Here is a 24,087-nt window from a genome sequence, read left to right as displayed (position 1 = left end):
AAGAAATCATATTTTTAGGGACAAAATCCATGGAGTTTCTGGACAAGTGATTAAGGTCCCCAGCAGAAACAGAAAAGACGTTTGTCCAAAAGGAGGTTAGAGAAAAGAGCCAAGCCACACACTGAAGGTTGGAGTAGGGACCCCATCAGCAGAGGCCTGAGTTTCTGGGGCATGCCCTGCCCCCTGTGAGAGGTGCAAAGGCTTGACTTTCAAGCCTGTGACATCGTTACACCAGGCCAAGGAAGGGGCTGCTGTAGTAGCTGAAAGCAAGGGTTCTGCACTCAGACAGTCTAGATGTGTATCCTGGCTTTCCACCACCAGTTGTGTGGCCTTCAGCAAGTCAGGGAATAGCTGTGAGCCTCAGGATAAACTGAGTTTACATAAAGCCCTTACAAGAGGGCCAAACAGGAGCTACATTTCAATCCACAATAGACATTATAATGATGATAACCATGATCATGATGTTTATTCTTTTCACCTAGCAGGTCCTCTTTAATTTTTTTAAAAATAATGTTTTTAGGCTGGGCACAGTGGCTCACTCCTATAATCCTAGTACTTTGGGAGGCCAAGGCCGGCGGATCACTTGAAGCCAGGAGTTCGAGACCATCCTGGCCACCGTGGCAAAACCCTGTCTCTACTAAAAATACAAAAATTAGCAGGATGTGGTGGTGCATGCCTGCAATCCCAGCTATGTGGGAGGCTGAGGCATGAGAATCACTTGAGCCTGGGAGGCAGAGGTTGCAGTGAGCCGAGATCGAGCCACTGTACTCCAGCCTGCGTGACAGAGTGAGACCCTGTCTAGAAAAAAGAAGGTTTGTTTTTTGTTTTGAGACAGGGTCTCGCTCTCGTTGCCCTGGCGCAATATCGGTTCACTGTGGCCTTGACTCTTGGGCTTACGTGATCCTCCCATCTCCGCTTCCTGAGTAGCTAGGACTACAGGCATGGAACACCATACCCAGCTAATTTTTCGTATTTTTTGTAGAGACGGGGCTTCACCGTGTTGCCCTAGCTGTTCTCTAACTTCTAAGCTCAAGCAATCCGCCTACCTTGCCTCCCAAAGTGCCGGGATTACAGGCATAAGCCAGCATGCCCGGCCAAATAATTTCTTTTGTTGTTGTTTTTTGTTTTGTTTGTTTTGAGACAGGGTCTAACTCAGTTGCCCAGGCTGGAGTGCAATAGTGCAATCATAGCTGACTACAGCTTCGAGTTCTAGGACTCAAAAGATCCTCCCTTCTCATCACCTGAGGTCAGGAGTTGGAGACCAGCCTGGTCAACATGGCAAAACCCTGGGCGTGGTGGTGGCGGGCGCCTGTAATCCCAGCTACTTGGGAGGCCAAGGCAGGAGAATTGCTTGAACCCAGGAGGCAGAGGTTGCAGTGAGCCGAGATTGTGCCACTGCACTCCAGCCTGTGCAAGAGAGGGAGACTCCATCTCAAAAAAAAAAATCCTACCAAGTAGCTGGGACTATAGGCGTGCACCACTATACCCAGCTAATTTTTAATTTTTTTGTAGTGACAGTCTCATTTTGTTGCCCAGGCTGGTCCCAAACTCCTGGGCTTAAGCAATCTGCCTGCCTCCGCCTCCCAAAGTGTTAGGATTACAGGAATGAGCCACTGCACCAGGCCAAAAGTAATTTCCTTTTGTCTTTTATTAATTAATTTTGTGGTGACGAGGTCTAACTAAGTTATCCAAGCTGATCTTGAATTTCTAGCCTCAAGAGACCCTCTTGAATCAGCCTCCCGAATAGTTGGGATTACAGGCGTGAGCCACTGTACCTGGCTCTTTTTTTTTGGAGACAGAGTCTTGCTCTTGTCATCCAGGCTGGAGTGCAGTGGTGCAATCTTGGCTCACTGCAACCTCACCTCCCGGGTTCAAGCGATTCTCCTGCCTCAGCCTCCCGAGTAGCTGGGATTACATGCACCCACCACGATGTCTGGCTAATTTTTGTATTTTTAGTAGAGATGGGGTTTCACCATATTGGCCAGGCTGATCTTGAACTCCTGGCCTCCGGTGATTGGCCCGCCTTGGCCTCCCAAAAGTGCTGGGATTACAGGAGTGAGCCACCATGCCCAGCCCCTGGCTTTTTAAAAATAATTTTTTAAAAATTATTTTTGTCTATTAATTTTTATGATAAGGATTTTAGATAATGACAGTCAAGCACTGTTTTTAGCGACTGAGCCTTTCAAACAAAATCAAATAAAGAGAACATTTAGCCTAGCACTCTGGCTGAACTGATGACCTGCTGCCCTTGGCTACCCTCTTGACTACAGTGGGGATCCCTAGTTGAACAAATCTAAGCTTGGAATCAAGCTCTGGAATTAGGCCCTGACTGCCGTTCACAAGCTGTGTAACCTTCAGCACGTTCATACCCTCCTTGGGCCTCGGTTTTCTCATCCAGAGGATGGAAGAGTTAGGCCTACACAGTGGTTTTAAACTGTGCTCTGTAAAGCCCTAAGAGTTCTAGAGGGGTACCCCAGGTGGATTTGAGTGAGGAATGGGTGGTGGGGAAAGAAACAGTAAATGGAGCTGGGCACAGTGGCTCACGCCTGTAATCCCAGCACTTTGGGAGGCTGAGGCAGGTGGATCACTTGAGGCCAGAAGTTCAAGACCAACCTGGCCAACATGGTGAAACCCTGTCTCTACTAAAAATACAAAAATTATCTGGGTGTGGTGGCATGTGCCTGTAATCCCAGCTACTTGGGAGGCTGAGGCAGGAGAATCACTTGAACCTGGAGGTGGAGGTTGCAGTGAGCCAAGATTGGGCCACTGCACTCCAGTCTGGTGACAGTAAGACTCCGTCTCAAAAAAAAAAAAAAAAAAAGGCTTTTAAAAGAAAGTAGTGGTACACATTGCAGGAGTGAGAGAGTGTGTGTGGGTATGATACTGGGGTGGACCTGGAGGGGAACAGGGTCAAGAAAGGCTTTACTTTTTTTTTTTTGAGACAGTCTCGTTCTGTCACCCAGGCTGGAATGCAGTGAGTGGCGCTATCTCAGCTCACTGCAAGCTCCACCTCCTGGTTCATGCCATTCTCCTGCCTCAGCCTCCCAAGTAACTGGGACTACAGGTGCCCGCCACCACGCCCGGCTAATTTTTTGTATTTTTAGTAGAGACAGGGTTTCACCATGTTAGCCCCGATGGTCTCAATCTCCTGACCTTGTGATCTGCCCGCCTTGGCCTCCCAAAGTGCTGGGATTACAGGCGTGAGCCACCACGCCCCGCCAAGAAAGGCTTTTCAAAGAATGTGATGGTACGCATTGCAGGAGTGTGTGTGTGTGTGTGTGTGTGTGTTTGTGTGTGTGTAGAGATCTGGGCCAAGAAAAGCTTTTCAAAGAATGTGATGGTACGCATTGCAGGAGTGTGTGTGTGTGTGTGTGTGTGTGTGTGTGTGTGTGTGTAGAGATCTGGGAGGCAAGGGTGCCTGGAGGAGAGAGGGAATGGGATCCAGGCACACAGAAGGGCTTGGTCTTGGGGGACGGATGCCATGAAGTATACGGCAGGGATGTCAGGAGGGTGCGTGAGTGGCTTCAGGAGGAGAGCGAAGATAAGAAACAAGTATACAGGAGAAAAGGAAATGAAATTACTAGGGACACACAGAAGTGCCAGGAAATGGGTGCCTATTAGAGGTTTGGGGTCAGGTTAGAATTCCAAGGGAAGCCTTGGTGAGTGTCCTCCAGCAACGCACAACCTTTCAGATACAGGCCCTAGGGGAGGCAGAGGGTGGAGATGAGCGAGTGGGGGCAGATGGAAGAGAACTGAGGGTATTTATAAGGCAGTGGTTTTGATACACAATGGACTTTGAGCAGCTGAGGGTTGGGAAATGCTTTCAGGCCTCACATCTGTCTCCAGGATTATTCGTTTTATTATTGTTTTAAATGACATTGTGTGTGCTCCGTAAAACATGGTGGAGTTAGCGGTCAGTTTTCCAGAAAAGGAAGAGGCATCTCCATCCTTAGGGGCTCGAAGTACCCCCTACTTTATTGCTGCATAACTCAGATTCCTCTGAGGGTTTATTTTATTTATTTATTTATTATTTATTTATTTTTTGCAATAGCGTCTCACTCCATCGCCCAGGCTGGAGTGCAGTGGCGTGATCTGGGCTCACTGCAACCTCCGCCTCCTGGGTTCAAGTGATTCTTCTGCCTCAGCTCCTGAGTAGCTGGGATTACAGGTGTGCACCACCACACCTGGCTGATTTTTGTATTTTTAGTAGAGATGGGGTTTCACCATGTTGGCCACGATGGTCTTGAACTCCTGGCCTCAAGTGATCTGCCCAACTCAGCCTCCCAAAATGTTGGGATTACAGGTGTAAGACACTGTGCCCGGCCCCTCTTAGGGTTTATATTAGGAACAATGTCCTCAACTATTGCAGCGATATATTGTATGCCTAATTTTAGTGCCAGAACATAGTAGACCATCAATAAACATGTGGCGAACTAAACAATCTCAATGTTAGGCAAACCTTAGAAGCCGGTGATAGCCCATGTGGAAGTCTTCAGAAAGCAAGCTTCCTTAGATTTCCAGTTTGAATCCTACATGATTCTTGGAAAGTTAATAGTAGAGAGTGTTTAATGGTACAAAGTTTCAGCTGAGGAAGATGAAAAAGTTTTAGAGATGGATGGTGGCAGTGGAGCATAATGATGTGAATGTAATTAATGCCACCGAACTCTACACTTGAAAATGATAAAAATGGCACTCCAGCCTGGGCGACAGAGCGAGACTCCATCTTAAAAAAAAAAAAAAAAAGGAAAAAGAAAAAAAAGAAAAAAAGAAAATCAGGTGTAGAATAGTGTAGTATATTCCTTTTAAGAAAATGAATGGTAATATACTTAGGTACATATAGAAATACTTGTACATCATCTCTAGAAGTATAACATGGAGGGCCTTAGAAGCCCAGGTGACAGGGAGACCTATTGCTCACTGCATACTCTTTTTTTTTTTTTCCCTTCCCTTGCCCTCTTCCATTCCCTTCTCCTCTTCCCTTTCCTTCCCCTCTTCCCTTCCTTTCCCCTCTTCCCTTCCCCCCGCCCCCCCCCTTTTTTTTTATTTTGAGACAGAGGTCTCACTCTGTCGCCCAGGCTGGAGTGCAGTGGCACAATCACAGCTCACTATAGCCTCAACCTCCTGGGCTCAAGCAATCTTCCCCTCTAAGCCTCCCAGGTAGCTGGGACTGTAGTTGTGAGCCACCGCGCCCCACCCTGTACTTTCATATTCGTGACCATGAGTATTATTACTTTCTCAAATAGAAGAAGAACCTTAAAATATGAGTTGTGGCTCCTAAGCTTAAATTGTTACTATTGAGTACATTCCTTAAAAATTATCCTTGTTGGGCCGGGCGTGGTGGCTCACGCTTATAATTCCAGCACTTTGGGAGGCCAAGACGGGCGGATCACGAGGTCAGGAGATCGAGAAGGGGTGAAACCCCGTCTCTACTAAAAATACAAAAAATTAGCCAGGTGTGGTGGCGGGTGTCTGTAGTCCCAGCTACTCAGAGAGGCTGAGGCAGGAGAATGGCGTGAACCCGGGAGGCGGAGCTTACAGTGAGCCGAGATCGTACCACTACACTCCAGCCTGGGCGACAGAGTGAGACTCTGTCTTAAAAAACAAAAACAAAAAACAAACAAAAAATTATCCTTGTTGGACCTGGTGGTGCACACCTAGAGCCCCAGCTACTCAGGAGGCCAAGGCAGGAAGATCGCTTGAGCCCAGGAGTTTAAGACCAGCCTGGGCAACATAGCAAGACCCTGTCTCAAAAAAGAAAAAAAGTTTGTCCTTGTTTTAAGAACCTAATTCTATATAAGCATTGGTCACCTGAGTTTCCGAATTATGTCTGTTCAATTTATTTTTTGGAGACAGAATCCTGCTCTGTCACCCAGGTTGGAGTGCAGTGGTGTGATCTCAGCTCACTGCAACCTCCACCTCCTGGGTTCAAGTGATTCTTGTGCCCAGGCTCCAAGCAGCTGGGACTACAGACATCCACCACCACACCTGGTTAATTTTTGTATTTTAGTAGAGATGGGGTTTCACCATGTTGGCCAGGCTGGTCTTGAACTCCTGACCTCAAGTGATCCGCCTTCCTCGGCCTCCCAAACTGTTGGGATTACAGGTGTGAGCCACCGCGCCTGGCCAAACTTCGTAGTTTTTATCATCTATCTTGATGATGCCTGACGCCCTTTTTCTTACTTTTCTATGTGCAGCATAATAAGAGTGCCACATACTCCGTGGGAATGCAGAAAACGTACTCCATGATCTGCTTAGCCATTGATGATGACGACAAAACTGATAAAACCAAGAAAATCTCCAAGAAGCTTTCCTTCCTGAGTTGGGGCACCAACAAGAACAGACAGAAGTCAGCCAGCACCTTGTGCCTCCCATCGGTCGGGGCTGCACGGCCTCAGGTCAAGAAGAAGCTGCCCTCCCCTTTCAGCCTTCTCAACTCAGACAGTTCTTGGTACTAATGTGAGGAAACAAACATGTTCAGGCCCTGAACATTTCCGGTGCTGACTCGGCCTTAAACGTTTGTGCCATAATGGAAAATATCTATCTATCTGTTCTCAAATCCTGTTTTTCTCATAGTGTAAACTCACATTTGATGTGTTTTTATGAAGGAAAGTAACCAAGAAACCTCTAGGAATTAGTGAAAAAAGAACTTTTTTGAGGTGTGTTACTATACTGCTGTAAGTTATTTATTATATAAAGTATTGTAAATAGAATAGTGTTGAAGATATGAAATATGGCTATTTTTAATGGTGACAATTATGACTTTTAGTCACTATTAAATTGGGGTTACCTATATCAGTACAATTTGTAGTTGTTTCCAGGTTTGGCTAATAATCATTCCTTAACCTAGAATTCAGATGATCCTGGAATTAAGGCAGGTCAGAGGACTGTAATGATAGAATTAAATTAGTGTCACTAAAAACTGTCCCAAAGTGCTGCTTCCTAATAGGAATTCATTAACCTAAAACAAGATGTTACTATTATATCGATAGACTATGAATGCTATTTCTAGAAAAAGTCTAGTGCCAAATTTGTCTTATTAAATAAAAACAATGTAGGAGCAGCTTTTCTTCTAGTTTGATGTCATTTAAGAATTACTAACACAGTGGCAGTGTTAGATGAAGATGCTGTCTACAAGGTAGATAATATACTGTTTGATACTCAAAACATTTTTCATTTTGTTTAAAGTAGAAGTTACATAATTCTATATTTTAAGTCTTGGGTAAAAAAGTAGTTTTACATTTTATAAAGTAAAGATGTAAATGATTCAGGTTTAAAGCTCTATTTGACTTCCTTTTTTTGTTTGAGATAGCGTCTTGCTGTGTTGCCCAGGCTGGAGTGCAGTGGTGTGATCTCAGCTCAGTGCAACCTCCGCCCCCTGGGATCAAGCGATTCTCCTACCTCAGCCTCCCAAATAGCTGGGACTACAAGGTGCCCTCCAGCATGCCTGGCTGATTTTTGTATTTTTAGTTGAGGTGAGGTTTCACCATGTTGGCCAGGCGGGTTTCGAAATCCTGACCTCAAATGATCCACCCACCTCAGCCTCCCAAAGTGCTGGGATTACAGGCATGAGCCACCACAACCGTCCCACTATTTTACTTTTTAAAATGACATTCCTACTGATTGATTTTTATCTTGCTATAAGTTCGATGACACCGTGAATCTAATAAGGTTCACTGTTGACACAGTACAAGTTACATAGCTAAAATACATAGCATTGAAGACTAATTTTAAGGATTGACAAGAGTTTATTTTCTATTGTGCAATATCTTAAAGGAAGCAACCACCTTTGGGAAAGTGTATCTGCTGCTCCTAGGGCCATGCTTGTATACATATTTAAATAAACATATTCATTTACCCGAGTTAATATTTCTTTTTACTTTTATTTCATTTTCATTCCCTCCTCTTTCAAATTGTTTCTCCCCAATGCACACAGTTTCTAATGTTCTGATTTTTTTAGTTACTAACATTTCACAAAGCAGAACTTAAAAAGCTGTCAAGTTATCTTAGTATTTTCTAAGACAGATGGTATCTTTGTGCTTATTTTTTGTTTTTGTCTTTTTTTCAAGACAGGGTCTCGCTTTGTCACCCAGGCAGGAGGACAGTGGCGCAATTGTGGCTCATGGCAGCCTCAACCTTCCGGGCTCAAGCAATCCTCCCACCTCACCCTCCTGAGTAGCTGGGACTACAGGCATGAGCCACCATGCCTGGCTAATTTTTTTGATTTTTTTGTAGAGATGGGGTCTTGCCATGTTGCCCAGGCTGATCTCGAAATCCTGGACTCAAGCAATCCTCCCACCTCAGCCTCCCAAAGTGCTGGGACTACAGGTGTGAGCCACTGTGCCTGGCCTGTGTCTATTTTTTGAATGGGCAATTTGTACCTTTTGATCCCCAGCCCCTGCTTCCCTCACTAGATGCAGCTGCTGCCATCATTTTCTTGTATCCTTCCATTGTTGGGCCTTTCATATACAAACACAGCCTGTTCTGCCTCATGCATGTTGAGTTTTCAACTTTAAATTTTTTTTTTTTTTTTTTGAGATGGAGTCTCACTCTGTCATCCAGGCTGGAGTGCAGTGGTGCAATCTCGGCCCATTGCAACCTCCACCTCCTGGGTTCAAGCGATTCTCGTGCCTCAGTCTCCTGAGTAGTTGGGATTACAGGTGTGTGCCACCACACCCAGCTAATTTTTGTATTTTTAGTAGAGACAGGGCTTCACCATGTCGGCCAGGATGGTCTGGATCTCCTGACCTTGTGATTCACCCCCCTTGGCCTCCCAAAGTGCTGGGATTACAGGTGTGAGCCACTATGCCCGGCCGTTGAGTTTTCAACTTTAAGTGGGAACTTCAGACTTCATACTTTCTGTGTGCAGAAGACATATGCAGTGATTATAAACAAACTGTACATCTGCCAAAAAAAAAGGCCGGGGGGAGGGAGGAACAAAGGAAAGGAGGAAGGAACTGTTGCGCAGTTATTTATTTACATTGGAAACAGCCCTCGCAGTACGGGTATATGAAGGCCAGACCTGATGAACAGCAGGTGAAACTCTGGGAACCCAGGGCTTAGGATACACAGTGCTTCCTTGTACATTTGTTTCCTTCAGATGGTCACATCCACCACTGAAGCTTTTTAGAAGGCACTTTCCATGACAGATGCAGGTCAAGGTCGCACATTAAAATCGGCCCTAATGCTTTTTGCTGAGTGTGAGTCCCTGACTCTCTTGCGAAGATCCCACCAGCCCTTTTCGTCTTAGCAGAATGAAGGCAGTGCCCTCTGCGGCCCACTAACTTCACAAGCTGAACTCAGACGCTAAGGCAGGACGACCCACGGGCTCCATTCAAGCCTCGCCTCATCTTTCACTGGTTGCTGCTGGAGAAAATCCTTTTTCTTTTTTTTTTTTTTTTGTTGTTTTCTTTGAGACGGAGTCTCGCTCTGGTGCCCAGGCTGGAGTGCAGTGGCACGATCTCAGCTCACTGCAACCTCCGCCTCCCGGGTTCAAGTGATTCTCATGCCTCGGCCTCCCAAGTAGCTGGGATTACAGGCACCTGTCACCATGCCTGGCTAATTGTTCCTATTTTTAGGGGTTTCTCCATGTTGGCCAGGCTGGTCTTGAACTCCTGACCTCAGATGATCCGCTGTCTTCGGCCTCCCAAAGTGCTGAGATTAGAGGCGTGAGCCAGTGCACCCGGCCCATTCTCTTGGTTTTTAAAGCTGAAAACAAGATCCTGGTGTTTGTGGTCTCAGGAGAAGATGCCGTGGCCCTGAGGCCAGCCCTCACCTGGGCTGCGTGAAGAAGGCATGGATCTGCTGTGCCACTGCTTGTCCGACCACCTGCTCCAGTTCCCCAATGGAAGCATTACTCAGTTGCTGGATGCTTGGAAACTTCTGGAGGAGAAGGGGAGCTTTAACTTTTCCAACTCCTGGGATCTGCTGCACGGTTCGAAGGAGCGAAGGCTCAGACAGCAGCAGGGCCCGTTTCTTCCCGAGAAGAGGGTTCTTACTGGGCTCTTTGGTTTGCTCTTGAACCTGAACCACAATGAAAGCAACAGCACGTGAGCGCCCTCTGGAGGACTGGCCGTTTTCTTAAAATATGTTTTGTAGAAATTGCGTTTTTCCATTTGGCTCAGCTTGACTTAAGGGAACAAATGTTTTCATGTATCATGAATATAATTTCTCAGACATCAGTAAAATTATTGAAAGGTGAACCACACAAAGGAGTTAAGACATTAATTTACAAAAATGTGCGTTTTCAGAATGTTTAGAAAAACACACAGATGAATTCAAACACTTTCTGTTGGTCCATTAAGAAACATTTCAGTTGTGCAGGATTAAATGATGGCTACACCTAAACTAGGCCTACTTCACGCAGGAGCTGCAGGAAGCCTGCCTCAAAGGAGAAACCTGGTCTAGTTAGTGGTGGTTATACTAAGGCAGACAACAGTGTTATATCAAGGAAAGTTAGGAACGGTGACGCAAGGGATATAGTAGAGAGGGATCTGTGAACCATTCATGGCTGCTTGCATCTTCAATGTGGCTCTCAACTCTAGCTCCACATCAGAGGGGGTGATTTAAAAACAACACACACATAACAAAGAAAACAAAAGTGAAAAAAACAAACAACACACACACACAATTGATGTTCCCCATGCTGGGATCAGAGGCGTAAGCTACTAAACTGATTTTAAAAATAAGTGTTGGCGGCCGGGCGCGATGGCTCACGACTGTAATCCCAGCACTTTGGGAGGCTGAGGCGGGCACAACACCTGAGGTCGGGAGTTCGAGACCAGCCTGACCAACATGGAGAAACCCCGTCTTTACTAAGAATACAAATTAGCTGGGCGTGGTGGCGGGCACCTGTAATTCCAGCTACTCGGGAGGCTGAGGCAGGAGAATCACTTGAACTCAGGAGGAGGAGGTTGCAGTGAGCCGAGACTGCATCATTGCACTCCAACCTGAGCAACAAGAGCGAAACTCCATCTCAAAAAAAAAAAAAAAAGTGTTGGTTGGTGCGGTGGCCCAGAACTTTGGGAGGCTGAGGCAGGCAGATCACCTGAGGTCAGGAGTTTGAGACTAGCCTGGCCAACATGGTGAAACTCTTATCTCTACTAAAAATACAAAAATTAGCCGGGCATGGTGGTGGGTGCCTGTAATCCCAGGTACTAGGGAGGCTGAGGCAGGAGAATCGCTTGAACCCAGGAGGCAAAGGTTGCAGTAAGCCAAGATTGCACCACTGCACTCCAGCTGGAATGACAGAGCAAGACCCTATCTAAAAAAAAAAAAAAACTGCCCAGGCATGGTGGCTCACACCTGTAATCCCAGCACTTTGGGAGGCCAAGGTGGGCGGATCATGAGGTCAGGAGTTTGAGACCAGCCTGGCCAATATGGTGAAACCCTGTCTACTAAAAATACAAAAATTAGCCGGGTGTGGTGGTGCGTGCCTGTAGTCCCAGCTACTCGGGAGGCTGAGGCAGAAGAATGGCTTGAACCCGGGAGGTGGAGATGGCAGTGAGCCAAGATTGTACCACTGCACTCTGGCCTGTAGGACAGAGCGAGACTCCGCCTCAAAAAAAAGGGAAAAAAAAAAAACTTGCACAAGGTGCTGATGCTTAACAAAAATACGGGATGAGACAAAGCAGCTTCTAGTTAACATTTTCTTTCTTTCTTTCTTTTTTTGAGACAAAGTTTCGCTCCTGTTGCTCAGGCTGGAGTGCAATGGAGCATCTCCACTCACTGCAACCTCCACCTCCTCAGTTCAGGTGATTCTCCTGCCTCAGCCTCCGGAGTAGCTGGGATTACATGCACCCACCACCACGCCCAGCTAATTTTTGTATTTTTAGTAGAGACAGGGTTTTGCCATGTTGGCCAGGCTGGTCTCGAACTGCTGGCCTCAAGTGATCCTCCCGCCTCCGCCTCCCAAAGTGCTGGGATTACAAGCATGAGCCATCACGCCTGGCCTCTAGGTTGACGTTTTCACCAGCGAAAGGGCAGGATAATGACTGATGGAGCCATCACACCCTGAGAATCTAAAATCAGGTCTCCAACTTGTATACTTTGTGATACACTTGCCTGGAGTGTGTGACAAGCTGAGCTGGCTGCAGAGGCAGCTTCCGCATTTAAATTCCTCGAAGAGATTTTATAAACCAAGTCAGAGAATGACATAGATTGGATTGATGGTTGCTTCTGGAGAGCAGCTGAGTGTCCATGAGGACAGGACTACCACGAAGGTGTAGGAATCGGTACTCACCAACTGGATGACGAGGCAGGATGCTTCCATCTGGCTGGCCACTGGAAGCAGCACCATTCCAAGGTCCAGCACAGTAAACTTCTGTAGGGCTGGGAAGTATTGTTCACTCATCCGGGTTTTTTCAACGACTACAATTCCTTTAAGATTATTGGACTTGAAAGGAAAAAAGACAGTAAGTCATTTTGCAACCAAATTGCTTTTCAGGTTAAGAATGCTATCACTTCGTGCCTGACCTGGCCAATGATTTTAAATAAATGATACCAAGGGATGGAGGGAAGGGTGGGGTGAGACAAATCAATGTTCGAGTTTCTTTAATCCAATGCTTACATTTCTTTTTTGTTTTTGTTTTTTGTTTTTTGAGTTGGAATCTCACTCTGTCGCCCAGGCTGGAGTGCAGTGGCGTGATCTCGGCTCACTACAGCCTCTGCCTCCCAGGCTCAAGCAATTCTCCCGTCTCAGCCTCCCTAGTAGCTGGGATTACAGGCGTGCGCCACCATACTCAGCTAATTTTTGTATTTTTAGCAGAGACAGGGTTTCACCATGTTGGCCAGGCTGGTCTCCAACTACTGACCTCAGGTGATCCACCCGCCTTGGCCTCCCAAAGTGCTGGGATTACTGGCGTGAGCCACAGCACCCAGCCTAATACTTACATTTCTAACCCGAACAAGCCTCTTTCTGTAGCCATTTCCTGCCACCAAATCAGCTTCGGTGACATAAAGAATGCAGCATCTGTTCGACAGATAAAAGTCTGGTGTCAAGCCATCCTCGAAAATGAGCTTAATTTTCCCTTAAAATACAGAGAAGAAAATGAGTTCCATAAGCTTTGGATGAAAAGATGGCAATAATAGGCAGATTTTTTTTTTTTAATATGTCAGGGGAGGAAAGGGCTGGCAGAGGGCAGGCCACCGACCTTGCATCTCCTGCGCCAGCTGTGACCCGCGCCATTTCTCATTGGCCACAATATGCCCCAAAGGCACGTGCACGGGGCCCGTATCATCAGGGGGGTTCTTTTCCATGGATGGTCTCCACCTAAGGAGGGAAAAGCCAGGCGGCACTTGAGCAGGCTCTCCTGCACACGGCCCTGCATTCCACTCCAAGCCAGGGCCTCTGGGGCAGGATCCCCTCTGCAAACTGAATTATTTGTCAAAGAACTGTCAAATAAGATTCCCTTTATAATTACTAATAAGAAAACACAGGCTGGGCGCGGTGGCTCACACCTGTAATCCCAGCACTTTGGGAGGCCGAGCGAGGCGGGTGGATCACAAGGTCAGGAGTTCAAGACCAGCCTGGCCAAGATAGTGAAACCGCGTCTCTACTAAAAATACAAAAAAATTAGCCGGGCTTGGTGGTGGGCACCTGTAATCCCAGCCACTTGGGAGGCTGAGGCAGAGAATTGCTTGAATCCGGAAGGCGGAGGTTGCAGTGAGCCGAGATCGCGCCACTGCACTCCAGCCTGGGCGACAGAGCAAGACTCGTCTCAAAAAAAAAAAAAAAAAAGAAAAGAAAAAGAAAACACAAAGGCCTGAATGAAGGCCAGGGTGGCTGGAGACGGGATGTGTGGTGGTGGAGGTGGTAATGGCATTGGATTCCAATAAGGCCAGAGGCACGATCAGATTTAAGTTTTAAAAGAATCCTGGGCTGGGCATGGTAGCTCACGTCTGTAATCCCAACATTGGGCAAGGCTGAGGCGTGAGGATCGCTTGTGCCCAGGAGTTCGAGACCAGCCTGAGCAATACAGCGAGATCCCGTTTGCCAATTATTTGTGGCGAAATAAATTCTCTAAGAACCAGGAGATTCCTGTCCTGGTGTCCGCGTCCTTCATTTTCATCACGTGCCTAGCCCCTGATACCCCAGCTGGATCCGCACCGTAGCTTCTCAGTCCAGTCCAAGGCCCGAATACAGCCGGCAGGAACCCCACCGTCCCAGTCTAGAGATCATGTTACTGGTGGCCGCGCCACCTTCCGGGTTCACGCCCTCGGTGCTCGCCCAGTCCTTCATCCAGCCCGCCCTCCGCCTCCCGCAGCGCCGGATAGGCTGTGGCGTCAGAAATGGACGTCTAACCTGACCAATAAGAGAACGGATAAGGGCGGACGTTTCCGCCCTGGCGGGGATTTGAACGGTACCCACTGGTTGCCAAGAACGACCGGTGTGGAAGTAACCTTAGCTCTGATTGGTCGAGGGCCGAGCTGAGCCAATGGCCGACGTGGTTGCTGCAAAGTCCATTGCGAAGAGAAAGCGTGAGGGCTGGGCCTGCGGCGGGCTTTAGGGAGTGGTCCCTGGCTGTGGATAGATCTGCTGATGAGTCCAGGCCCCGGTCCATTCTCCTCGCGCTGCAAGGATGCTCCTGGGATTTCGGAGAGGCCGCAGGAGTCATTTCGTAAGTAGATGCTCGCCCGCCGCGCGTGGGGCTCTGTGGGGCCGGGAATTAGGGGTAAAGTGTTGGGGCGGGTTGGGGTTTGGCCTGAGATCCAGTCAAGGGGGCGGCACAAGAGAAAGTGGTTTTCAGTTGAGGAAGCCTTGATTTTTCGTGTTCTAAACTTTTTTTTTTTTTTTTAAGAAACAGGGTCTCGCTCTGTCGCCCAGGCTAGAGTGCAGTGGTGCGATCATAGCTCACTGCATCCTCGAACTCCTGGGCTCAAGCGATCTTCCCACCCCAGCCTCCCGAGGAGCTGAGACTACAGGCGCGCGCCACTACTCCCGGCTAATTGTTCAATATTTTTGTGGAAACAGGGATCTTGCTATGTTCCTATGGTGGTCTTGAGCTCCTTAGCCTCCTAAAGTGTTGGTATCACAGGCGTGAGCCACTGTGCCCGGCGTTAACAATCTTCTGCCCCAGGGTCGGCCACAGTTGGACAGGAGCACCCTGCCTCCCCTGTAGCATTCGTCCCCGTGCCCGGAGTTAACTCCTGGACGACGTACACCTGCTGCACTGCTGGATATAGCCATTCTTCATTTTTCCCTCCTCCACCCACCATGTACACCCCATCAGCAAGTCCCATCCGATATACCCACTACATACATCTGCCAGCTGTTCCCATCTCCACCCACACCCCGGCCTCCAGCATCTGTCTGGACTGCTGCGGCAGATCCTCACTGGTTTCTCTGCTTCCACTCTCGCCCTTCCCCTAGGTCCATTCTCCACGTAGCAGCCAAGGGGATTCTTATATTTATTTATTATTTAATTTAGTTTTAGAGACAGGGTCTTGTCCTGATGCCCAGGCTGGAGTACAGTGGCATGATCATAGCTCACTGTGGCTTCAACCTCTTGGGTTCAAGTGATCCTCCTGCCTCAGGCTCCTGAGTAGCTGGGACTACAGGTGTGCACCACCACACCTAGGTATTTTTTATTTATTTTATTTTTTGCCTCACACTCTGCCAAGTCTCAATGCCTGGCTAATTTTAAAAATTATTTTGTAGAGGCCACGTGAGGTGGCTCTCACCTGTAATCCAGCACTTTGGGAGGCTGAGGCAGGCGGATCATTTGAGGTCAGGAGTTCAAGATTAGCCTGGCCAACATGGTGAAAACCCATCTCTACTAAAAATACAAAAATTAGCGGGCGTGGTGGTGGGCACCTGTAATCCCAGCTACACGGGAGGTTGAGGTGGGATAATCGCTTAAACCCGAGAGGCAGAGGTTGCAGTGAGCCAAGATTGTGCCACTGCACTCCAGCCTGGGCGACAAAGCTAGACTCTGCCTCAAAAAAACATAATTTTTTTTTTTTGGTAGAGATGGGGTCTGGGTATGCTGCCCAGGCTGGTCTTAAACCTTGGCTCAAGCAATCCTCTCACCTTGGCCTCCAGAGTGTTGGGATTACAGGTGTGAGCCACTGCATCTGGCTTGAGTTTTTATTTAAAGCCCCAAACATTAATGAGTCCCTGCTGTGTGCTGATACCCACAACTGACAGCTTATGGCCACACGGTCTGTAGGATAGACAAGCCCATAAATAATTCTGTACACAATGGTAAAACAAGAACTGCTGTTGATGTGTGTACCAGAAGGGCAGTGACGTCAGCCTGGAGAGTTGGCCTGGGCCTGGCAGGGAGTAAGGAAAGAATTCTGGGTGCAGAAGACAGCAAATACCAAGGCCTAAAAAAGAATGAATTATTTGCTGTTTGGGAAATGGAAGCCCACGCTGAGTGCTGAAGCACAGGGACTCTGCGCAGGAAGAGGAGGGGAAGCAAGAAATGAATTTGGGTCCTTGTGATGGCAGTGGCTGCTGCCATCACGCTGTGTGGCTAGGGCTGCACACTTCATGGAGCCGGTGGAAGCCCCGTCCCTCATGAGTTGGGACTGGAGCCGCAAACCGCTGCTGCAGACCCAGGCCTTCTGCTCTATGGAGCAGGCAGGAGCCCCACCCTCTTGGGCAGGGCTACAGCCACCCAAACTGCAGCTGTGGATCCGAGCCTCTCTGCTCCTGGGGGAGCCGGGAACAGGCAGAATTTGCCCTTCCAGATGCAGCTGCAGCCGCGCAGGCAGGAGCCAGGGACAAGTGGGAGCCCTGCCTCTTCCAAGTTGGCGGGGTGGGAGCTCCCAGGTGCAGCTGTGGCTGCCCCCCCAGGCACAGGACGAGGGCATCTCTGTAGCCTGCACCATCGGCCATCCCAGGAAGGACAGCCCCCTTCACCCTCCATCCCTGCAGGCTCAGGGGTGTCTGCTTCCACTGCCTGGCCTCTCTCCACTCCAGCAACTGCTCTGATCTTGGAGGGGAGTCGGAGCCAAGACCTGCAGCCATGAATGGCAGCAGGAGGAAGGGGGTGGGGTCCCCAGTAAGGCCCCACCCTCAGGCCAGGGAGGGCCTGAATTCTGGGGGCTGGGCTGCCAGTCCCTCTGACCAGAGTGGAAACTCGTGGAGCCTTTTCTGGGCCTGCCAATGGCCCAATCAGCACACACTTCTTCCCCGCTGAGGTCCATAAAAACCCTGGGCTCAGCCAGAGCAGCGCAGAGAATAGCCAGAGGATGAAGATGGTAGAGACGAGGGGACAGGATGACCAGCTGCAGAGAGCAGTACCCTCTCTGCTGATAGCTGGAGACGGTGGGGTGACCAGCTACAGAGAGGAGTACCTTCTCCGCTGAAAGCTACAGAGACCACCTGCCAGCAGAGAGGAGCTACACTCTGCTGCGAGCTTCAGAGACCTGCAGAGACATTGGAATGACTTGCCTGCGGAGAGGAGCCACTCTCTCCAGGGCCTCCTCTCTGTTGAGAGCTGAATGGTTGAGCTCATGGGACAATCTGTCTCCAGAGAGGAGCTACCCACTCCTCTGAGCTCTTCTAACACTAAATAAAACTCCTCTTCACCCTTCACTTGTCTGTGTACCTCATTCTTCCTGGATGCAGGACAAGAACTCAGGCAAAGGCACTGTGGCCACAGAGGTTCCGGCCAGAAAAATCGACACCCCAAAAATCCCATAACACTTGGTAGGAACCAACCTATATCAGCCTGATAAGCCATGCTGGACATTTGCCTGCCGTTGAGAGAGTGGTGCTGCCCATGAGGGTTTTTATGCCCAGTAGAGACAGGATTGATGAGGGGACCATAGTTAGGAATGATTGTGATGGTATGAGGGGGGATTCACTCTTTAAAAAAAAAAAATCTTATGCAGCCTTTTTGGAGGACCTGCTGGACGCCAGCCCTTGGGATTCAAAGGTTAAGAAAACCTTTTCTGGCCAGGTGCAGTGGTTCACACATGTAATCCCAGTATTTTGGGAGGCCAAGGCAGGCGGATTGCCTGAGGTCAGGAGTTTGAGACCACCCTGGCCAACATGGTAAAACCCCATCTCTACCAAAATACAAAAATTAGCTAGGCATGTTGGCACATGACTGTGGTCCTAGCTACTTGGGAGGCTGAGGCATGAGAATAGCTTGAACCCAGGAGGTGGAGGTTGCAGTGAGCCAAGATCGTGCCACCGCACTCCAGCCTGGGTGACAGACAAGACTGTCTCCAAAACAAGCAAACAAACAAAAACCATTTCTTGTCGTGTAGCAGGTGGTGGAGGGGGGCAGGGTGGAAACATGGAAACTGTGGAATCACTTGACAAATACAGGGTGGCAGGTGCCACACAGAGGTAAACAGAGTGGGGGTATTGGGTAGAGACTGCTTGGAGCTTCTGCTCCTGTGGGTGGCTGTGCAAGTCGGTGGTGGGGGCTGTAGGAGATGACTGGAAGGTGTGCCCATCCCTCACTCCTGAAAGATGCCCCCACTCTGTGCCACCCTTCCCAGCCTTGTGTCTCGTGCTGACCACTACCTAACATTCCTGGGGCCACTGTCAGTGGGTGCTCCTCACTAGGCCTTGGGATTTCCTCCATCTGCTCTGGAAGCCCTTCCCATGGGAATTGTCCCCACCATGCCCCCAAGCCCCACCCTCGAAGATGCCTCTAGTCTAGCAAAACGGAGAATCGTGCTTATGATTTCCGAGCACTGCAACCAATGTCTTGCTCCATTCCTTTGTTCATGCCGTTCCCTCTTCCTAGAATGCTGTTCCGTCACATTTCCAAATGTGGGACCAGTGGGCATCTCTGAAAGCCCAGTCTAAACGCCTGTGTGATTTTCTCGAAGGAAAGCATTTGAAATTCCCAGGCTGGCCCCAGACCTGGAGGAATCTTCCCTCCCTGCCCACCCCAGCACTTTGTGCTAATTACTGGCTTCAAATAGAAAACAATAGTGTTTTTATCCCACATCTCATTGATGCTCTTTTTTTTTTTTTTCATTTTTAGTGAGAGCCTTTCTCCCGGCTCATTCCATAATTCTATGTTCTGTAATAATTATTTGGGTGTTTTTCCTCCCTTCTCACCACTTTGGGGATGAAGACAAGGTTTCTTCATTGCTGTCATGGTGTTTTGCCTCTAGTAGGTGTGAATGAATGGCTCGTGCCAAGAAAATGATTGGACTAGACCCAGAAACGTCTCAGAGACTCCCAGTTACAGTTACCTAAAGCGGAGCTCTCTGACTTTCATTGTGTATAGGAGCTAGTTTTCATTACTCTCGTCTTGGAGATAAGCCACCTAAAAGCTTATATTAAGCCCCTATGAGGTGTGAGGCAATGTGCTCAATGCTAGAGTTCCAGGATTGATAAAGATAAGAGAGTGGGCCAGGTGCAGCACTCGCACCTATAATCCCAACACTTTGGGAAGCTGAGGTGGGAGGATCACTTGAAGCTAGAAGTTCGAGACCAGTCTGGGCAATGTAGTGAGATCCTGTCTCTACAAAAAAATACAAAAATTACCTAGGCATGGTGGTGAACATCTGTAGTCCCGTCTACTCGTGTGGCTGAAGCGGGAGTTTGAGGCTGCGGTGAGCTATGATCGTACCACTGCACTCCACTCTGGGCAACAGAGCAAGACCCCATCTCAAAAACAAAACAAAGCGAAAAACAATAAGGATATCACTTGCTTCTCAGGAAGTCGCCCTGCTCTGCAGGGGGAGCCACATGAGACATCACTGGGGGGAGTGCTGTGGGACACATGGAAGAGCTAGAGGGTGACTCTTGGGGACAGCCAGGGAAGCTCTGAGGAGGGAAGGACAAGAGGGCCACACAATGAGCAGCTATCATGATGCTCCTTGGCTGTGTGCACTTGTCTGGCCTGATGGGGACTGGGGATGGCAGGGGAGGAGTGGGCTTCTGATGGGTTTGGATCCATGGGTGGCCAGTGCAGGTGTCCCCTTGCAGGCCCAGGGAGAGTGGTGACAAGACTCAGGTGATCCAGTGACCCAACCCAGTGACTTCTGTTGGATTTCATTTGTGCAGAAACACATCATCCATGGCCTTTTACCTGCAGCCAGCGTTGCTCCGAAGGCAGCTGTGCCACGCACACCTCCTCCCCGCAGCCCCAACCCATCTCCAGAGAGACCAAGGTGAGTATCAGATGAGCAGGCACTGAGGTCACCCCTGTGCTCAGCCTCCAAGTACTGGATCCTGGAACTGCTCAAACTGCCCAGAAAAGTATAAGTAGGGTGGTTAGAATCATGTCCTTCAAAATGTTTACCACGATTCCATAATGATGCAATTAATATGGTGTCTCTGAGGATAATGGACTGACTTGAGGTCTCTCCTTTTCAGGTGCATGAACTTCTCACATTTCATGATTGAATGCAATGAGTATTTAAAAAAAAATGTAAAGCATTAAAGCCCAAGTATTCAGGTTAACAGGGAATTTTGAATTATACACATAATTTTCTTTCTTTTTTTTTTCCTTCGAAACGGAGTCTTGTTCTGTTGCCCAGGCTGGAGTGCAGTGGCGCAATCTTGGCTCACTGCAGCCTCCACCTCCCAGGTTCAAGCAATTCTCCTGCCTCAGCCTCCGGAGTAGCTGGGATTACAGGCACATGCCACCACGCCTAGCTAATTTTTGTATTTTTAGTAGAGATGGGGCTTCACCATGTTGGCCAGACTGGTCTCAAACTCCTGACCTCTTTCTTAATCCGCCTGCCTTGGCCTCTGAAAGTGCTGGGATTACAGGCATCAACCTCCGCACCCAGCCCATTTTCTTTTTTTTTTTTAATTATTAATTTTTTTTTCAAGGCAAGATCTTGCTCTGTTGCCCAGGCTGGAGTGCAGTGGTGCAATCATGGCTCACTGCAGCCTCCACCTCCCAGGCTCAATCAGTTCTCCCATCTCAGCCCGCCGGGTAGCTGGGACTACAGGCATGTACCACCATGCCCAACTAATTTTTCTATTTTTTATAGAGATAGGGTTTTGCCATGTTTCCCAGGCTGAAATCCTGGGCTCAAGCAATCCACCTGCCTCTGCCTCCCAAAGTGCCTGGGATTACAGACGTGAGCCACTGTGCCTGGCCAAAACAAAAAGTTTTTTCGAGATATGGTCTCATTCTGTTGCCCAGGCTGGAGTGCATTGGTGCGAACGTGACTCACTGCAGCCTCAACCCCCTAGCATCAAGCGATCCTCCTGTCTCAGCGTCCTGAGTAGCTGGGACTACAGGTACACACCACCATGCCTGGCTAATTTTTTAAATTTTCTGCAGAGATGGAGGTCTCACTATGTTGCCCAAGTTGGTCTTGAACTCCTAGGGTAAACTGATCCTGGGAGGCTGAGGCAGGAGAATTGCTTGTGCCCAGGAGTTTAAGATCAGCCTGGGCAACATAGCAAATCCTTATCTATAGCAAAAATCAAAAGAAAATAAATTATCTGAGCATGATGGTGCATGTCTGCAATCCCAGATACTCGGGAGGCTAAGGCTGGAAGATCACTTGAGCCCAAGAGGAAAAGGCTGCGGTGAGCTATGATCATGTCACTGCACTGCAGCCTGAGCAACAGTGAGGCTGTTGTGAGTGAGGCCCTGCCTCTAAAAAAGTTTATTTTAAAAAGATAATTAATAGGGTAGCTCCTGAAAAAGAAAAAAAGATAATAAATATATCTATCATTCTGACAAGGGTCCTCATGCTCCTTTGTAATTCCTTCCCCCTGCCCCTCTCTGCCACCTTTCATGCTCCTGTTCATCCCCAGGCAACCTCTCATCTCCTTTCTCACACTATGGATTAGCTTGTATTTTCTAGAATTTTATATAAGTGGAGTTACATAAAATACACTGCCTTCCTTCACTCAGCATGATTATTCTGATTAACGCGTGTTCCGAAAGTCAATAATTCATCCTTTTCCTTACTGAGTAGTATTTCATTATATGAATATGCCACAGTTTGTTTATCCATTCTCCTGTTGATGGATATTTAGTTTGTTTCTAATTTTTGGTTACTAGAAAAAGGCTGCTGTAAACATTTACACACTGGCTGAGTGTGGTGGCTCATGCCTATAATCCCAGCAATTTGGGAGGCTAAGGCAGGCAGATCACCTGAGCTTAGTAGTTTGAGACCAGCCTGGTCAACACGGTGAAAACCTATCTCCACTAAAAATACAAAAATTAGCTGGGTGTGGTGGTGCACTCCTGTAGTCCCAGCTACTGGGGAGGCTGAGGCACGAGAATCGCCTGAACCTGGAGGCAGAGGTTGCAGTGAGCCCAGATCGCACCACTGTACTCTAGCCTGGGCAACAAAGCGAGACTTATATCTCAAAAAAAAAAAAATGTATACACAAATGTTTGGATACATACTTTCATTTCTCGGGTAAATATCTATAACTGGGCCTTATACTAGGCAGGTATTTAATTTATTAAGGAACTGTCAAACTATTTTCCAAGGTCATTGTCCCATTTATGTTCCCACCAACAGTATATGAGTCCAGTTGCTTCATATTCTCACCAACACTTGGTTTGGTCAGAGTGTGTGTGTGTGTGTGTGTGTGTGTGTGTGTGTGTGTGTTCATGTGCATGCGTGTGAGTGCGTGTGTGTGTGTGTGTGTGTGTGTGTGGTCTTTTATAACTTGGACAGTCAGTGGTTAGTTTTCATCCACATTGACTGTAGGTTTTTGAAAGTGGTGACAGTTGCATAGCTAACCAATGTACAGAGCTTGTTTGATCAATCTTCATCTTCATTACGCTTTCTGGACAGTGGTACACAGATAGGGTGAGGGATATTCCTTACTCCTTTGTCTGAGACAGCTTTGTTGAGCCCGGCATCAATGCACACATCTCGAGTTCCTAGCTCTTTCATGGAAAATTTCCAGATCTCTTTGTGTATGCCAGGGGCAGTGTCTTAAAGCACACTCCATAGGTGTGCTCATGAGTGCTGATAGTGTGCTTTCTGGTCACAACCTTGTTGACGACAGAACAACCCTTCTTATTGCCCTCCTTTGTGGAATCCATTCTCATAGGCCCAGTTTAGAATAAAAGAGCACAAGGGGTTGTCTTGGTCAGTTTTTAAAATTTTGGACATTTCATGAGCGTGTACTAGTATTTCATTGTGGTTATTTTTGTTTTTTTGTTTTTGAGATGGAGTCTGTTATTTTTGATCAGAGTCTCATTCTGTCACCCAGGCTGGAGTGCAGTGGAACGATTTCAGCTCACTTCAACCTCCGCCTCCTGGATTCAAGCGATTCTCATGCTTCAGCCTCCTAAGTAGCTGGGATTACAGGCATGCACCACCACACCCGGCTAATTTTTGTATTTTTAGTAGAGATGTGGTTTTGCCATGTTGGCCAGGCTGATCTCAAACTCCTGACCTTAAGTGATCCACCCGCCTCGGCCTCCCAAAGTGCTGGGATTACAGGCGTGAGCTACCGCGCCTGGTCTTATTTTGCATTTCTCTAATGGCTAATGGTATTGAGCATTTTTTTCATGTGCTTATTTGTCATCTTTATATCTTTTTTAGTAAAGCATCTGTTCACATCTTTTGCCCATTTATAAAAATTGGGCATTCCTTGTTGGTCACAAGTCCTGTTGCAGATCTAAGAACCATCTTGGGAAGGCCGTTGGACTCAGGATCATGTTCAGTTGGAGGCAATGACATTTTTCATCCAGGAGACGTAAGCAGAGACCTGGGTGAAGACTGTGGGTTTCCTGGAGACATCACAGCCCTGGCTTGTTTTCCATTATTGCATCCTGAGGGTTCATTATATAGTATCAATACAAGTCTTTTATCAAATATGTGATTTGCAAGTCTTTTCTCTCTATCTATGGCTTGTCTTTTCATTCTCTTAAACAGTGCCTTTCAAAGAGCAGAAGTTATTAATTTTTATGAAGTCCAGCTTACAATTTTTTCTTTTATGGATCATGCTTTCAGTATCTCATATTGAAGAAATATTTACCTAACCTAAGGTCACAAAGGTTTTCTCTTATATTTTCTTCTAGAAGTGTTATGGTTTTCGGCTTTACAGTTAGGTCTGTAATCCATTTAGAGTTAGTGTTTGTAGATGGTGCGTGTATTAGTCCGTTCTCACACTGCTGTAAAGATACTACCTCAGATGTGGTAATTTATAAGCAAAGGAGATTTAATTGACTC

General features: G+C 47.8%; 3 protein-coding genes and 1 pseudogene across 8 annotated transcripts in view, besides 3 other annotated features; 2 read left to right on the top strand and 2 right to left on the bottom strand.

The window, feature by feature from the left end:
- The window catches only part of RHPN2 (rhophilin Rho GTPase binding protein 2), an 86,297-nt gene extending 78,438 nt beyond the window's left edge, over window positions 1-7,859 (top strand). Inside the window, exon 15 of the mRNA NM_033103.5 lies at window positions 6,195-7,859. Within this exon, the coding sequence (NP_149094.3) occupies window positions 6,195-6,455 (261 nt within the window). The 3' untranslated portion in view covers window positions 6,456-7,859. The remainder of the gene's footprint in view (window positions 1-6,194) is intronic.
- A 362-nt stretch (window positions 7,860-8,221) lies between these two features.
- Window positions 8,222-14,209, bottom strand: FAAP24 (FA core complex associated protein 24). 3 transcript variants are annotated; one of them, NM_152266.5, is made up of 5 exons: window positions 14,105-14,209; window positions 13,149-13,267; window positions 12,889-13,025; window positions 12,239-12,391; window positions 8,222-10,020 (listed from the first exon to the last, which is right to left on the bottom strand). In NM_152266.5, the coding sequence occupies exons 2-5, from the start codon at window positions 13,252-13,254 to the stop codon at window positions 9,769-9,771; spliced, it is 648 nt and encodes a 215-aa protein (NP_689479.1). In that variant the 5' UTR covers window positions 13,255-13,267; window positions 14,105-14,209; the 3' UTR covers window positions 8,222-9,768. The 3 variants fall into 3 exon arrangements, with proteins under 3 accessions (NP_689479.1, XP_005259450.1, NP_001287907.1); XM_005259393.4 differs by having other exon boundaries at window positions 12,889-12,967; NM_001300978.2 differs by lacking the exons at window positions 12,889-13,025; window positions 13,149-13,267.
- Window positions 14,036-14,085: an enhancer, noted in NCBI's record as "active region_14436". NCBI's record gives its function as "activates an Ori minimal core promoter by ATAC-STARR-seq in GM12878 lymphoblastoid cells {active_cell/tissue: GM12878}" and the evidence as "EXISTENCE:reporter gene assay evidence [ECO:0000049][PMID:35858748]".
- Window positions 14,226-14,355: a silencer, noted in NCBI's record as "silent region_10487". NCBI's record gives its function as "represses an Ori minimal core promoter by ATAC-STARR-seq in GM12878 lymphoblastoid cells {active_cell/tissue: GM12878}" and the evidence as "EXISTENCE:reporter gene assay evidence [ECO:0000049][PMID:35858748]".
- Window positions 14,466-14,685: an enhancer, noted in NCBI's record as "active region_14435". NCBI's record gives its function as "activates an Ori minimal core promoter by ATAC-STARR-seq in GM12878 lymphoblastoid cells {active_cell/tissue: GM12878}" and the evidence as "EXISTENCE:reporter gene assay evidence [ECO:0000049][PMID:35858748]".
- The window catches only part of CEP89 (centrosomal protein 89), a 96,034-nt gene continuing 86,439 nt past the window's right edge, over window positions 14,493-24,087 (top strand). For all 4 annotated transcript variants that reach the window (XM_005259344.4, NM_032816.5, XM_017027398.2 and 1 more), the window contains exons 1-2: window positions 14,493-14,615; window positions 19,985-20,091. In XM_005259344.4, coding sequence (XP_005259401.1) covers window positions 14,577-14,615; window positions 19,985-20,091 — 146 coding nt within the window. In that variant the 5' untranslated portion in view covers window positions 14,493-14,576. The remainder of the gene's footprint in view (window positions 14,616-19,984; window positions 20,092-24,087) is intronic.
- Window positions 22,586-22,943, bottom strand: RPL31P60 (ribosomal protein L31 pseudogene 60; annotated as a pseudogene).

This window comes from Homo sapiens, chromosome 19 (genome assembly GCF_000001405.40).
Source record: "Homo sapiens chromosome 19, GRCh38.p14 Primary Assembly".
NCBI lineage: Eukaryota > Metazoa > Chordata > Mammalia > Primates > Hominidae > Homo > Homo sapiens.
The sequence above is the reverse complement of the archived record's forward strand: the minus strand, read 5'-3'. Positions and strand labels throughout refer to the sequence as shown.

Bases quoted from the DNA above. Each gene is read 5' to 3' on its own strand.
- FAAP24 (NM_152266.5), bottom strand. From the start codon at position 13,254: ATGGAAAAGAACCCCCCTGATGATACGGGCCCCGTGCACGTGCCTTTG. The intron at 13,026-13,148 runs GTCGGTGGCCTG...CTGTATTTTAAG, and splicing joins GCTGGCGCAGGAGATGCAAG to GGAAAATTAAGCTCATTTTC. The intron at 12,392-12,888 runs GTAAGTATTAGG...TTTCCTTTCAAG, and splicing joins GGCTTGTTCGGGTTAGAAAT to TCCAATAATCTTAAAGGAAT.